The 14941-nt window shown below is 61.3% G+C and overlaps 1 protein-coding gene across 12 annotated transcripts in view, besides 3 other annotated features; it reads left to right on the top strand.

Annotated features, from left to right (window-relative positions):
• The window catches only part of SARDH (sarcosine dehydrogenase), an 80538-nt gene that overhangs the window by 22733 nt on the left and 42864 nt on the right, over positions 1–14941 (top strand). For 11 of the 12 annotated variants that reach the window (XR_001746217.2, XR_001746216.2, XR_001746213.2 and 8 more), the window contains exons 9-13: positions 4099–4185; positions 4514–4604; positions 8795–8936; positions 12192–12275; positions 14194–14307. Coding sequence is in view for 8 of the 12 variants with exons in the window: in XM_017014367.2 (XP_016869856.1) it covers positions 4099–4185; positions 4514–4604; positions 8795–8936; positions 12192–12275; positions 14194–14307 (518 nt within the window). In the remaining 4 variants the exon portion in view is untranslated. Of the gene's footprint in view, positions 1–1106; positions 1322–4098; positions 4186–4513; positions 4605–8794; positions 8937–12191; positions 12276–14193; positions 14308–14941 lie in introns of those variants that run through there. The other variant, XM_047422898.1, reaches the window with a different exon arrangement.
• Positions 215–916: an enhancer, noted in NCBI's record as "H3K4me1 hESC enhancer chr9:136581429-136582130 (GRCh37/hg19 assembly coordinates)". NCBI's record gives its function as "activates a minimal SCP1, AML or CMV promoter by ChIP-STARR-seq in primed H9 embryonic stem cells {active_cell/tissue: H9 hESC(primed)}" and the evidence as "EXISTENCE:reporter gene assay evidence [ECO:0000049][PMID:30033119]".
• Positions 917–1620: an enhancer, noted in NCBI's record as "H3K4me1 hESC enhancer chr9:136580725-136581428 (GRCh37/hg19 assembly coordinates)". NCBI's record gives its function as "activates a minimal SCP1, AML or CMV promoter by ChIP-STARR-seq in naive H9 embryonic stem cells {active_cell/tissue: H9 hESC(naive)}" and the evidence as "EXISTENCE:reporter gene assay evidence [ECO:0000049][PMID:30033119]".
• Positions 5137–5840: an enhancer, noted in NCBI's record as "H3K4me1 hESC enhancer chr9:136576505-136577208 (GRCh37/hg19 assembly coordinates)". NCBI's record gives its function as "activates a minimal SCP1, AML or CMV promoter by ChIP-STARR-seq in primed H9 embryonic stem cells {active_cell/tissue: H9 hESC(primed)}" and the evidence as "EXISTENCE:reporter gene assay evidence [ECO:0000049][PMID:30033119]".

Here is a 14941-nt window from a genome sequence, read left to right as displayed (position 1 = left end):
CCAGGGCTGTCCCCGGTCCCTCTCGCTGCTTGGCTCCAGCAGCCCTGGGTACTAGGTGTGGCCTTTATTCCCCTCTACGGGCGAGAGGCCTGGGCTTCACAAGGGCCATCATCTGCCCCAAGCACGAGGCCAGGGCCTCCTCCTGCCTCAAGGGTGGCTGGTCCTGGCTTCCCCACCTGGGCTTCTTCATCCCTAGACTTGACTTGTCCCTGGAATTCTGTGTTTTCATCTGTAAAATGGGAATAGCGGGCCACATCCCAGCACCCTGTGAGGCTGAGCCAGGAATGGAAGGGCTGAGACCTTCCCTGATGAGAGGCTTATACAGCTGTGAGTCCCAGTTCTGCCTCCAGCCCCAGCCCCCACCGCTCCCAGAGAGCACTGCCCTGGCCAGGACCCCATGCTGCTGGCCTCCCTCCTGTTCTTGGCGGCTTGCACCTGGAGGCCAGCTCAGCGGGGGAAGGTTCTTGTGTCAAGATTCCCCTAACTCTGGCCCTCCTTGCTAGCCCCAGGAGAACTTAGCTGGAAGAGGCTGGAGCAAAAAGGTGGGCTCAGCTCCCAGATGCCCCACGTGGGTCATCCACAGCGCAGCTCAGCCCCACCCCACCCTACTGGCCTGGGGAGCCTGGAAGGCTCTGCCCCAGGGGGCGGGTGTGGGGCTGAGGCTGCTGGCCTGGGGAGCCCGGAAGGCTCTGCCCCAGGGGGCGGGTGTGGGGCTGAGGCTGCTGGCCTGGGCCCTGGCAAAGGTGCACTCTCTGGGAAGCAGGAGGGGCTGCAGCTGACCTTGGCACCCCAGTGTTTATAACCACGGGACTTTGAGCCAGACGTCCCTGAGTTGAGTGTGGGGCAGCCCAGGAGCTACCGGTGACCCCAGAGCACCAGCATTCCTTCATGAGGGCATTCATTCTACATTAAGTGGCACTTCGTCGGTGGTGGAGGCAGGCACGCTCAGGGCCAGCGCCCTCCTTCTGGCAGGGGAGACCCAATGCAAGTCACTGATCACAGCCCGTGGGTGGGTGCTCTGACACGAGGCATGGGGTGACTGGGTGGCCACAGCCTGAGGACACAGACGGGCGGCCAGGAGGAGGGGCAGCCTAGCCCGGCCCTGGAGGGCGAGTCAGCGCTGGGCCTGCCGCGGATACGTGATCTGAGCAGGGGAGCACCAGGTGGGCACAGACAATCCCCCACATTGGGGTTCCAGCAGAATCACATGGTGTTCCCCACTGCTTCCTGGTAGGGGGAGCTCTGGCCCCGCTTCAGGGCTGGGAGAGAGGTTCAGGAAGACACAGTGTTGCCCCCAGGGAAACTTCGTGTCAGAAGCCTGGTGAGTCCCTCTGTGCCTTTAGTGAAGGGCACTGGAATGGGTGCCCTCTGGAGTAGGTGCATCTGTGAGATGGTGACGGAGCACTGACTCGGCAGGGTGGCCTAGGGACCAGAAGCCACAGGGGCGGTGCAGGGCATAGGCCAGGCCCAGCAGCTGTAGAGAGCATTTGAGTAGAGGTGGGCGGCACAAAGCGGGGAGCCCAGGGACTTCCACGGGCCATGCAGGGAGCGGATGAGGGCCCTAAAGACAGGGAAGAGTCCCGACACAGAAGGGCTGTGGCCACCGAGGAGTCCAGCCCCCTCTGTCCTGGCACGCTCAGCATCTGCTCAGCCGTCAGCAGGGGCTACTTGAATGAATTCGACTCCTATGGGAGCCTTTGGAGTGAAGTGCAGCCCCGGGGAGAAGCAGATAGAGCCCCAGGGGCCGGGGCAGCGTGCAGGGTAGGAGCACACAGCCGTGACTCACTGCCCCCACCCCGCAGCTTGCGTGGGTCTGGCAGCGAGAAACACAGGCCCGGAAGAATCCCAGGGGCACAGATAACCCCAGGCGTCTCTCTGTCTCTCTCTATCTTTCTCTTCCTCTCGTTTTAATTAGCCTGGGGAGCCGGTACTCCCCACGAAGCCCTATTTTGGGGAAGATGTGCAGGCAAGGACATCTTGGATCTGGTCTGTCGGCTGGATGGGAGACTGGTGGGGAATCAGCATTTCTCCTTGCCAGGCACGGCCAATGGCCTTTGGCCTCCAGGAAAGAGCAGGGAAGTCCCAGGCCCCCGTGACTTAGGGAGCGCCTGGGAGGGCAGGCAGAGCTCTCATTCCAGGATGGTGGAGCTCACCAAGGTCAGGGTGGGAGCCGCAGGCCTGGCCCCTGGCCATGTTGCCTGGAGGTCCCATGTGTCCTCGGGTTACTCAACCCGCATGAGTCATTTGTGAAACATCCAAGAGACCCTTGTTCCCTGCAGCTGCCCCTCCGCTAGCTCTTGATAGCGCTCCCCGCAGATTCCCTGTGAGGTTGTTCAGAGCTTCTTTCCTGCCCTCCCTGGGCCTAGAAATAGTTCCAGCCCTCCCAAGGTGCTCCCTGGGCCATCCCCAAACCCAGCCCAGGTTACCTCCCCAATCCCCCCTTTTTTAAAGGTCTTGCTGTGTTGCCCAGGCTGCAGAGCAGTGGTGCGATTTTGGCTCCCTGCAGCCTCTACCTCCTGGGCTCAAGCCATCCTCCCTTCTCCGCCTCCTGAGTAGCTGGAACTACAGGCTCGCTCCACCACATCCGGCTAATTTTTTGATTTTTTTGTAGAGATGCCGTCTCGCTATGTTGCTCAGGCTGGTCCTGAGCTCCTGGGCTCCAGACATCCGCCTGCCTTGGCCTCCCAAAGTACTGGGATTACAGGCGTGAGCCACTGCACCCGGCCTCAGCTCACTCTTTCTGCCCCATCGTCACCTTCTCTGGAGCCTTCCTTGTCTCTCACCCAGATGGCTGCTCCGGCCTCTGCCCTCTGCCCTGATAACCCAGGCCCTCCACGTAGGGCCCTGCCCCTCTAGCCTGCCTCCTCCACCCTCCCCTGCAGTGGCCCTGCCACCTTCTGCCCCTCAAGGAGCCCTGCCTCTCCTGGCCAGGCTCTTAGCCCAGGCTCCCCGTGGCTCTCTGCCCCCTCAGCTCCTAGCGTGGGGGCCCTGATTGCTCTCCAGGGAGCGGGACGGCACTTGCTCCTGATCTGCATGCAGAGGATGACCCCCCAGACTTGGAGCCATCCCCGTATCATCGTTCACGAACGAAGTGCCCTGGGGTCCCTCAGACCAGGGCCGGCCGCTTCCTCATCTAGAGTCTAACATGGTGTGGTGCTGGGGTGCCAACAGTAGCAGCTGGCACCTCAGTGACGCGTGGCCCTCAGTTCATCGTATTTTCTTTACGAGACCGTCTGTTTTTTGCTTATTTAAGTATTTGCTCCCTCCCTCCGTCAGCTCCTCGAGGGCTGGGACATGTCCTGCTCAGCGCTGCCTCCCAGGGCCAAGCCCAGGACATGAACGTCTGTAGGCTGGCGAGCGCACAGCTCTGTGGAGGTTCTGCTATCCCAGTTTTATAGACTAGGACGCTAAGCCTTGCTCAGAGAGGCGAAGTGACTCGCCCAATGCCACACAGCTAGGAAGGGGTGAAGCAGGTTTTGAATCCAGGACTGTGGCCACAGAGAGCCAGGGTTCCCCTCCCACCGTGTCCTGGCCTCTGTCTGAGGCTCAGCTGTGGCCGCCGGAGTGGGACATTGGTCTCCTCCCCCGCAGAAGTTGGGAGCCTTTGTTGGCTCAACAGACATTTATCAAGCACCTGCACTTGCTGGGCTCTGACCCTGTGCTGGGCGGGGGGAAGTGGAGTGAGAAAACTGGTCTCTGCCCTCTCAAGGTCCAGTGGGCAGGAGTGACAAGTCTCTGGCAGGGACACAGCAGGACGCTGGTGCACTGGGGGAGCCGCAGCATGGTCTCCAGGGTCAGAGAAGGGCTCCTTGTCGGCAGGACAACGGCCACAAGACAGCGGGACCCCACCAGGCAGAACCCAGCCAGGTCGCCGTCAGCTGGTTCTGGCAGCACACGTGGAGGGGCTCAGAGAGCACGGGCAGGAGCCAGCGGGGAGGCCCCCATGAGGAAGTGGCGCTGAGCAGGGCCTAGAGGAGGGAGGGGGTTGGGTGGAGGGGCCCCTGCAGACCCTGCCTGATCACTGCTCTCTTGGAAGACCTCACCCCAAGAGTATGTGCACTGCAAAAGGGACTCCAGGCCTCTCTCTCCTTCTTTCAGAATCCTTCACGCCCGACCACAAGCCCCTGATGGGGGAGGCACCTGAGCTCCGAGGGTTCTTCCTGGGCTGTGGCTTCAACAGCGCAGGTGAGTCCGGGCAGCAGCCCTCCTGGCCCCCAAGAGGGAGGTCCTGTCATTCCCAGAGCTCTGGGGGAGGCGGGCGCAGGAGCACCGTGGCCCCCGACAGTGGTGGGGACAGGAGAGGCTGGGGAGTCCAGCCCCTTCTGCTTCCCAGAGAGTGCACCTGTGCCAGGGTCCAGTCCAGCAGCAGTCCAATCAGGAGGCGTGCAGCACCCCAGGTGTGAGAGCAGAGCTTGGAGTGTCTGTGCTGTCCGTGGAGATGGGGGCACATGTTTGGACATGGGTGGGGGACCCTGGGGGGCAGACCGCAGCCCTGCGCTTCTCTTCCTGCCAGGAATGATGCTGGGTGGTGGCTGTGGGCAGGAGCTGGCCCACTGGATCATCCATGGGCGCCCGGAGAAGGACATGCATGGCTATGACATCAGGTAAGTGCCCATTGGGACCTAAGGGCAGGGCCCGCCACTCAGGACAGGTGGCGTGGGGTAAACAGCGAGGGCTACTGAGAAAGGAGCCTTGCCTGAAATCCAGGTGGCTTCCTGGAAGGGGCAGCAGTGAGGGAGGAAGGCCACCAGCAGAAGGTGGGCAGTGCTGAGGGGGTGGCTGGGGGGCAGGTCCACGCCCCTTTACAGCTTTGAAGATCTCTTGTCCCAGGGTCCTGCCTGAGCCCCTGGACAGCTCTGGAGTCATCAGTGGGATGGCATCACCCCACCTCACAGATGGGGAGACTGAGGCCTGGGGGCAGGAGGGAGCGGGGCTGAGCTGGGAAAACTGTGCTGAGTGTGTATGCCGCGGCTTGCAGCCAGGCAGCCCCGGCTGTCCCGTTCAATCGTACACTGACAAAGCGGCCAGGAATGAGACCCAGTGCAAGCCACTTCCTCGTCTCTAATGCAGGGTGATGGGGAGGGGCTGTGGAGGTTCTGGGAGCAGGGAGGGCATTTGTACTGGTGAGGCACCCAGCATGGGGTCTGCACATGGAAACGCTAAGTCATCCCCAGCCGAGGCATGGACTGGGGTGCTGGTGGCCAGAGCCGGTGACGGCAGCCTATCCCGATGGCCTTCTGCCAGTCAGGGCCATCTCTTGCAGAGCACAGGACAGTGGTGCAGGCGCTCCCCGGCAAGGGGGGAGGCTCCTCCTGTGTCTCGTCCTCATGGCGGTGGCCTCTCCGACCCACACAGCAGGGCCTGTGGCCCGGGCCACTCCCCGTGCGTTGTGGGGTGGCTGTCGAGGCAGGACGGCTTGGAGGGAGCCCGGCCTCCGGGTCTCTCCAGCCCACTCTGCTCCCGGCTGCTGCTGCTGGTGGACAGCCTCCCTGGGGAGGCAGTAGGTGGGTGGGCTCCGGAGGGAGAAGGCCTGGCTCAGCTCGGTGCGCCCCTCGCCTCTGCTGACCTAGTCCTTTCCTGGCCTGATGAGGACATTACGCCCACTGTGGAGAAGAATGTCTGACCCCACGGAGACAGTGACACTGAGGCCCCCCAGCTGCCACCCCTCCATGGCACCCGACACAGTGAAGCCTCCTCTGGCTGACTCAGAGCCCGTCTGGGCCTGCGCCCCTGCACTCTCCCAAGCGAGGAATGTCCCGGAAATGATAAAACTGTAAAGGACTTCAAGGAAGGGCCAATTCAGGCCCCTCCTGCTGCAAACAGCAAAATGGAGGTGACTTGCCTGAAGTCACCCGGCTTTTGAACCAGAGCCAGGTAGGGACCCAGCTCCCTCCCCAGGAGGGACAGTCTTCATGCCCTGGCCTCCCTTGGGGATTCCAGCTCTGGAACCCACCAACCAGGGTTCTGTGTGGCCTCTCTGTGCCTCTGTATCCTCGGCTGCAAAATGGAGCTGCCCAGCCTGCCCAGCTCCTGACCTGGGGCCTAGTCCCGCACTCAGCAGACAGGATGTTTGCTCATGGGCTGGCAGAGGCCCTGAGGCGACCCCTGGCAAGTTGGGGGCAGGCCTGGGCCTCCCTCGGTCAGCTGTCTTCCTTCCATCACTGGGACTTTGGCGGGAGTGTGCCATGGGCTGCTCTGGGGCTGGGAGCCAAGGGCACAGGTGGGGAGCCCCTGAGAGCTGGAGTACAGCAGGAGGAGGAGCACCCACCCTGGAGTACAGCAGCAGGAGGAGCACCCACCCTGTTGGTCCCAGACCCCTGCCAAGCAGCCTGGCTGGTGGCACCCAGGGCACACAGGCTAATGCCGTCCTCAGCCCAGCCGTCACTGACGTGGGGCTTCCAAACCCCTTCAGTGTGCCAGAGTGGACGGCCGCCACCAGCAGGACCAGCCACCGGCCCCCAAGGGCTGTAGCACTAATGCAATGTTCTGCCACCTCGGGCCTGCGCCCGGGGACTGAGACAAGACACAGACCCTGAAGGAGAGAGACAGAGCGAGGAGAGGAAGGAGGTGCCTGAGAAAGTCGTTGAAAGACCCAGAAAAGAAAGTGAACAGAGAGCGTCGGCGCCAGAACGGAGCTCTCCCCTGCTCAGAGACTCCTGGTTGCTCCCCTCAGGCCAGAGCCAGAACACGCGTGGGTCGTCCTTCATCATACACATGGGAGACACGCACAGCGAGGGGGCGTCCCGGGAGACCAGGCAGCCTGAGCCGTCCCTGGGTGCGGGGCCTGTCTGGGCTCCGGGCTGCGCGTGAGGGTCCCAGGGCTGACCGGGCACCAGGGGGCTTCCAGGCCATGGCAGCCGCCCTGCGCGTGAGTTCCTTTTGAAATCAGATAAGAGGCTGTCTCTCCAGCCCCATATCTGTCAGCTGCATGGCCCTTGGTCAGTCGCTCCTGTTCTCTGAGCCTCAGTTTCGCCACCTGGAAAATGGGAACAATGTACCACCCTCTTGGAGCGCACTCGAGGCTCATGCGTGTGGACGCTTGGCCCAGTACCCAACAGAGGCAGAGCCAGAGTGTGGGCTGGGCTGTTTTTTCAGGGAAATTCCTTGGGGACCAGGTGAGCCAGGGAAGAGTTGCTCTTTATTTAAGTGAAAAGGGTGGTCTGGGCCGGCCTGGTCCCTCTGCCCACTTGCTCACAGGCCGAATTGGCAGCTGGGACTCTGTAGGTCACTCGCTGCTCCTGCCACCCGACGTGCACCTCACTGCTGCCCCCAAGAATCCTCCCAGACCTTCACTGGCTCCATCACCCCCTCCTTCAGCTCCTGGTCAGCATAGCCTGGCGCAGGTGTGGGCTGCCTTTGCCGTGGCCTTGCCGTGTGACTGTGAACACTTGTGAGACCCTTCCGAGCCTCAGTTTCCCCCTGCGTGAAAGAGTTAATCTTGGGTCCCATGCAGAAGGCAGCTCTGGGGACAAAGAGAGAGGGATTTCCTCCCACAGCAGCACTCAGCTCTGAGCCTGCACTGGAGCTGGGTGCCATAAGCGACAGCAGCTGTTAATGATAATATCATTAATAATAATCCTCACGTCTGCACCTCTACTCCCCACCCATCCAGATCAGAAAATTCTGCTTGCTAGAATTACGTGCAGACTAAGAATCAGCCCTGACAGGTGTCACTGAGGATAGAAACGCCTCTGATGTGGCTGCTGAGGCAGCCTTGAGTGATGAGTGAGGTTCTAGCAGGTGGAGCGTGAGGGGGAGGCGGGGTGCTGGGAAAGCCGGGGGCTGACAGGGAGGTTTGTGCGTGGGAGGCGGCTGCAGGGCCCTGATGCAGCTGGGCCCGGGTCTCACTCCAGCCAGCAGTTCCGCACTGTCGGATTCGGGACGGGTGGCTGGTCTGAGGAGACCAGGGAACAAGCCGCGGGGCACTGATTGCTCTGCCCACTCAGGGGCAGCAGAGGCCTAGGCCGCAGGTGCAGCCACAGAGCTCCGTAGCTCCATGAGAAATAGCATGGGGCCCGCCGGGTTCGTGCTGGACACCACCGGGGGCTGCCGTGGCCGCACACTGTGTCCCCAGCCTCGAAGGAACAAACCCAAAACTATTGCAGCCACATCATCTCCGGTCCCAGGCGCTGGATTGGGCAGCCGCTCCCCAGACACAGCTGGGATTTTCCCCCAGAGACTCTGTACCTCTTGGGTCCCTGGTCTGACCCACAGACGAGGCCCAGCTTTGGGATCACAGACTTGGGGAGGCCTGATGGGACAGGCGGCCACCCTTGCCCCCACTCCCCTGCTGGCGGGTGGAAAGGGGGGTTCCTTGATGAGGAGGGGGACACTGGTGTTCTGACGCATCACCAGGCTAAACTTCAAAGACCCTTCACATGGACCCTCCCCAGAGCATTCTGGGGATCTGAGCCCATCCCTCCCAGGGGCCGCTCCCTCCCCAGTCATGTAGGGGCACCCCAGGACTCCCCAGCACTGGAACCTAGGCAGCAGACAGCAATGTGTGGAGAGCGAGGCTGGAGTCCCATGTCCCTGTGGGGGATGAGAGCCTCAGCTGGGCCCTCTGTCCACAACGCCCACTCACTGAGGGCCACTGGGGTGGGGTGGCTCTGGGGGAGAAAGCTGAGTTCACCCAAGGGTGGGGCGAATGGAGAGTCAGGGGCCCGCTCAATGCTGAGCCACAAAGGGGACTCTGGTGCAGGGGACCGGGGTCCAGGCTTACCCTGGGTCCTAGGCTAGCCCTTCCCTGACGGGCCATCCCCAAAGCAGTGACCCGTCCCCCTGTCTGCGGCAGGCGCTTCCATCACTCGCTCACGGACCACCCCCGCTGGATCCGAGAGCGAAGCCATGAGTCCTACGCCAAGAACTACTCCGTCGTCTTCCCCCACGATGAGCCGCTGGCCGGGCGCAACATGAGGAGAGACCCGCTGCACGAGGTAACGCCCCTACAGCTCCTGCTGGGGACTGGCAGCGAGGGTCTGGGACGTCCTCAGGGCAGCGGAGTGACAGAAATGCAAGGTGTACCCCAACCGCAGGTCAGGTGCGGTGACAAGGTGTCTGTCATTCCCCAGGTAGTAACCCGGCACCCCCATGTGTTGGGCACAGTGCTCAGGGCCAAGAACATTAGGGAATAAAGTGGAAATGGCTCCCTCCCACCCGGGGGCTTCTGTTGTAGTGGAGGAGCAGGAACGCACACCCAGGAACCGCCCCCTGCCAACTGCTGGCAGCAGCGCCAACAGGGCAGGGGTCCTGGGGGCGGGGTCTTGGTGGGTGTATGCAGCCACGTATTGGGAGAGCAGCCAGAACACGGCGTACATTGGAGAGGGGCTCCTGCCTGTAGAGCCTGCTGCGGAGGCTCTTCTGCCCTGGTGAGCTTCGACTCACCCATTCAGTGAAACCCACTGTCAGGTGCCCCTTTCTCAGGTCTGCCCCTGTGCCCTCCCCTGGTCCCCCAAAGACAAAGGAGCTCCTTCTCTGCGCTCCCAGCCCCGTCTCCATTCCTTCCCCCTCTCCCTGGCCATCTCGTGCTGGACGCTTTGCTTTCTGGGGAACAGGGGCTATGTCCTAGGCACTCTGGTTCCTGAGCATTGAGGTGCTCGGGGGATGTTTGTTGAACAGATGGATGGGCGGGGAGGCAAGAGGGAGGCTCAGGGAGCAGGTGGCGTTTAAACTGAAGAAGGGGCCTCCCTCACCTGAGATTCCAGTGTCTGGCCCCAAGAGAGATCCTGGTATTAGCTGTACCTCCTGGGGAGAGGCCCAGAGTGGTCACAGGGCTGGCTCCCAGACTGCCCTGGCCCTTTGGCCTGGCTTGGTGGACCAGCTATGATCTCAGGCCACACATGGCCCTGGGGTCTCCCTAGCATGCCCCCGGGCCTGTAATCAGTAATCACGCCCTTGCCAGTCCTGACAGTTCAGAAGCCTCCCTGGGTGAATGCAGGGTTTGCTCCTCTCGCAGTCAGCTCAGACGCATTCCTCAGAACTGAGCAGCTCTACCGAAGAAACTTGGCAAGGGCTGAAGCACGCCCCTGCCCCCCAGGGAAATCTTGGTTCACCCACGCCTCGACTTCCCTTCCTAGTTAGCAGCCTTCTTGCGACACTTGACAGCCGCTTAAGTTTGTTCTCTTTCTTTCTTTTATAAAGAGGGGAGCCTGCCCTCTTTTAATGGGCTCTTGAGATGAACAGTTTGCCTCCTTAGAAAGGTGGCCCATGGGATGTCCCCATGGTTCACTGAGAGGTGGGTGGATTTTGTGCCCTCGATTGCCATCCCCTCAGAATCCCAGGCAGGCAGGGAGGACATGTCCATGTCATTGATGAATGCTGTGGCCTTGGGCGTGCCTCCTCCTTCTTGGGGCCTCGGGGGTGGAGGGGAGGGCAAGTGCTGTTGGGACAGACCCTCAGCGGGCCATCTGGAACCAGATGCTGCCCCCGAGGCCCTCTCAGCCCTGCGCTCGGGGCCTCGTTCCAGTCAGAGGGGGTGGCCCCTGGGTAGGGCCCTTCCAAACCCGAGAGTGGGTTTTCTTTTTTTTCCCAAACCAAATTTATTTTTAAAGAAACCTCCCACTCTGTTTCTCTAGTGTGTTCATTACATTCGTTGTTGTGATTAAGTAGGCAGATCTTAAAATGAGCTATTTTAACTGCTCTAAAGTGTACAATTCAGTGGCATTAAGTGCCTTTGCAGTGCTGTGCAACCGTTCCCATTACCCAGTTCCAGAACATTCTCATCACCCCACAGGGAAACACCATCCCCAGTAAACAGCCCTTCCTCATCTCCTCCCACCAGCCTTGGCAACCACTAAGCTGTTTCGGTCTCTATGGATTTGCCTGTTCAGGTCACTTCATATGCTGGAATCATCCAATACATGACCTTTTGTGTCTGGCTTCATTCCTGTAGCATGTTTTCAAGGTTCATCCTGTGATAAAATGTGTCCAAATTTCGTTGCTTTTTATGGCTGAATAATATTCCATGGTGTATGCAGACCATGCTTTGTTGATCCACTCATCAGCTGAGGGCCACGGGGGTTCTCTCCCCTGGTTAGTGGTTGCGCATAGAGCTCAGTGAACATGCGTGAACGGAATTTGTTTACAACCCCGCTCTCAGTTCTCTTGTGCATACTTGGGAGTGGAATTGCTGGGTCGTATGGTGCATCTTTCTGCTAGGGCAGCCACAGCAAAAGGCCACAAGTGGAGAGGTTTCAGCAGAACTTTTTTTTCCCCACATTTCTGGAGACTGGGAGGTCCAAGATCAAGGTGTCAGACGATGGGTTCCTGGAGAGGGCTCTCCTGGCTTGTAGTCGGCCACCTTCTCACTGTCCTCATGCAGCGGGGAGAGGGCCCTGGCGTCGCTTCCTCCTCCTATAAGGGCTCCAGCCGTATGGGATTAGGACCCACCCTGATGACCTCATTTAACCTAAAGATCCCATCTCCAAATAGAGTCACGTCAGGGTCAGGGCTTTGACATACGAATTTATGTGGGGATGTGATTCCGTCCATAGCAGATGGTAATTCTACAGATGGGGGTTCTCAGGGCCAAGGCAGATCAGGGCAGGTGGTAATTCTACAGATGATGGTTATCGGGGCCAGGGCAGATGGGGCAGGTGCTATTCTGTAGCTGGGGGTTCTCAGGATGAGGGCAGATAGGGGAAGGTGATAATTCTACAGATGGGGTTCTCAGGGTGAGGGCAGATGGGGCAGGCGGTAAGTCTATAGATGGGATTCCTGGGGCAAGAGCAGATCAGGGCAGGTGGTAATTCTATAGATGGGGGTTCTCAGGGTGAGGGCAGATGGGGCAGGTGGTAATTAATTCTATAGATGGGGGTTCTCAGGGTGAGGGCAGATGGGGCAGGTGGTAATTAATTCTATAGATGGGGGTTCTCAGGGTGAGGGCAGATGGGGCAGGTGGTAATTCTATAGATGGGGGTTCTCAGGGTGAGGGCAGATGGGGCAGGTGGTAATTCTATAGATGGGGGTTCTCAGGGTGAGGGCAGATGGGGCAGGTGGTAATTCTACACATAGGGGTTCTCAGGGTGAGGCAGTGAGGGTAGCTGCAAACACTGGGCTGGAGGCCTGGTTCCAAGAGTCAGGGCCTCCTTGCTCTCCGCACCCTTGGGTGTAAAGTGGCGGATGTGGCTCTCTGCCCTGCGCAGGGGTATCAGGCCATGCGTGACAGATGCCTGTTCCCCACTCCTGCTCAGGAACTCCTTGGACAAGGCTGCGTGTTCCAGGAGCGGCATGGCTGGGAGCGACCGGGATGGTTTCATCCCCGAGGCCCAGCTCCGGTGAGTAGTGCCTGCTGGGCTGTGCTGCTGGGAGGCCCTGCCCTGACAACCCCCTTGCCCCTCCACGTGCCCCGTCCTTGCCCCTCCGTGTGCCCCGCCTCCCCAGGTGGTTCCACTGTCGTGATCAGTTATTCTGCACACGGGAAGCCGAGCCCTGCCGACCTGCCCCCAAGGCTCAGTGCATTCTTTGTGCCGTTCACGCAATTCCCACTCCTCGTCCTCCCCACTACCCGTCCGCTGTGGCCAGGCCTTCCATGGCCTAAGTGGGAAGGGCTGTAGGCAGAGCAGAAGGGGTGTCCTGCGGTGGGGAGACAGCAAGAAGACTCCCCCAGGTTGCAGGAGGAATGGAGCGTCTCCTAATTCTGTGCATCTATTTTTGGCCACTCCGACTGTTGGTTTATGTCCGTAGGAGGGCAGGCACTGGGCAGGTTGATGCACCCAGGGTGCTCAGTTTCCCAGTGGAGGTTTCACAGTGGCCTGGACTCTGGGCGTCCTCTGGGGACTCCCAGGGACCTGGGTCCTCAGTGAGAGGAACAAAGGCAGTCCTGCTGTGAAACCTGGGACCCAGACCCTCGGGAGCAGGGGACGCGAGGCCTTAAGGCCAGCTGAGGGGTAGCATTTGATCCAGATTTACAGAAATCGAAATCCCCTTCCCGGGGCTGCGTCTCACCAGTCCCCTCTGGTGCACCCACCTTCCATCCCCATGGCAACCCACAGCCCAGGCCAGGCTCCAGAGCTCCAGGGCATCGGGAGGGGAGATGAGAGCCAGAGCTGGCTAACGGGGCCACGGCTCTGGGGTCAGAGCCTTGCAGGTCATCGTCTCTTCTCCTGCTGGCCCCTAGGGACATGCCGTCCTCATGAACCCTGCGGGGAGGAGGGGTCTGGGCAGACCCTGTCTTGAAGTGCAACCCACTGTGTTCCAGTCAGATCTGGCCCTGGAAGCCCCTCTCCCCTGTCCCTGGGCGAGGAGAGGAGAGTCAGGAACACACCCCAGGTCCCAAGATGGGCGGATTTTGCACCCCCACCCGGGAGCCAGCCTGGGTGTCCAGGACACCTTGGCAGGGCTGCAGTGGGTGGGATGTCCCTGCTGGGGAGGGGGGTACTCCATGCAGAGATGCCAGCAAAGCCTGACTCCCTTACAACCTCACACTGGCTCCCACTTGTGTGTGAAGAGGAGGTGAGGCTTGGGCGGACGGGGCTGGCAGCCCTGGGAGGTTAAGAATTGCCCACACCTGCATTCACAGCTGTGCCGTGTCGGCAGTTAGGAGGGCAGGTGGCGGGGTGGGGGGTTGTCTGCAGGAGCAGCGGCCAGGGAGGGGCATGGGGCTGTGGGGCTGTGGGGTGTCTGATGGGGGCAGATCCCAGGGAGGCCAAGGCAGTGGCAGAAAAGCTGGACTCTGGAGCCCACGCACCTGCCTGGCTTCGTGCCACTGCCAGGTCCAGGACTTGTCTGTGCCCTTGGGCGAGATATAACTTCTCTGCGCCTCACTTTCCTCATCTGTAGAAAGGGGCACACCTGGTAGGAGTGTAAGACGCTTCCCGCAGGGGCTGGCCCAGAGCAGGAGCTGGGCCTGGGATTGCCGTGGCTCCAGGGAGCAGCCCTGGCTGAGGTCCTGGGTAACCACCTCTCCCTGTCGTTCCCCACCTTGGGTGCATCCAGCTCCTCCTCCAGCCTCCTGGGCCCTGGCTGGGCTCTCAGACCCACCAGGCAACCCTGCGGCCTCCTTTGTGCCTCTGTTTTGCCTGGACCTCATGGGGGCCCCCTGCCCGCGTCCACAACACACGGGCACTCAGTGCAGGGCTCTCCGAGGGCAGGGCCAGGCCTGACCCCATCACAGCCTCAGCGGGACCCCGCTCTGGGGAGGGAAGCGGGGAGGGGCCAAAGAGGCAGGCTGAGGACCACGTCTTTTCTTCCCAGGTCCTCGAGTACGACTACTACGGGGCTTACGGGAGCCGCGCGCACGAGGACTACGCCTACCGCAGGCTGCTGGCAGACGAGTACACCTTCGCCTTCCCGCCCCACCACGACACGGTGCGTAGCTGGGGTCCACCGTGGGGGTCCGTCCTTCTGCCTGTCCCTCAGATAAGCCATTGCGCCGGCCCTCGGCTGGCCCTGCAGGGGCTCCCCTCCCCCAGGAGTCTCTTCGGGCTCTGCATTCACGCTTTTTTCGGCTGACTCCATTTTGAGGAGGAATCATGCGTTTTCCTCTCCCCCTCCTCCCTCTGTGCCGAGATTTTGCCAGCAGCCAGGCCTGAGCGGAAGTGGTGCTGCTGGGGATGGGGTGAGGTGGGGGCGGAGGCAACGGGCTGGGGCCCGGTGGGGCTGCACCGCTCTGAGCCTCCGCCTCCCGCTCTCCGGAGCTGCGCCGAGGCTGGCATGAGACGTGGTGGGGGAAGGGGGTCCTCCCTCCTGGAAGCCAGCGCAGAGTAGATCCAGGACAAGGGGGCCGCAGGCTCCTGGGCATCAGGCCCCGTATGGGCCCCTCCAAGGGACAAGCAGAGGGAACCAGAGCCGGGAGGGCCGTGGCCTGGAGCCTGCTTGCTGTTCCTCTGGCTCCAAAGTGGGCAGGCGAGGCTGCTCACACGGGGCAGCTGGCAGCCCGTCGCCCCTGCCTGGGGACCTGGCTCCCACGTGCAGGGGGTGGAGGTGAGGAGTCTTGGGGGTC

Source organism: Homo sapiens, chromosome 9, assembly GCF_000001405.40.
Source record: "Homo sapiens chromosome 9, GRCh38.p14 Primary Assembly".
In the NCBI taxonomy this organism is placed as follows: domain Eukaryota; kingdom Metazoa; phylum Chordata; class Mammalia; order Primates; family Hominidae; genus Homo; species Homo sapiens.
Note: the sequence above shows the minus strand (reverse complement) of the source record. Positions and strands in the feature narration are given on the sequence as shown.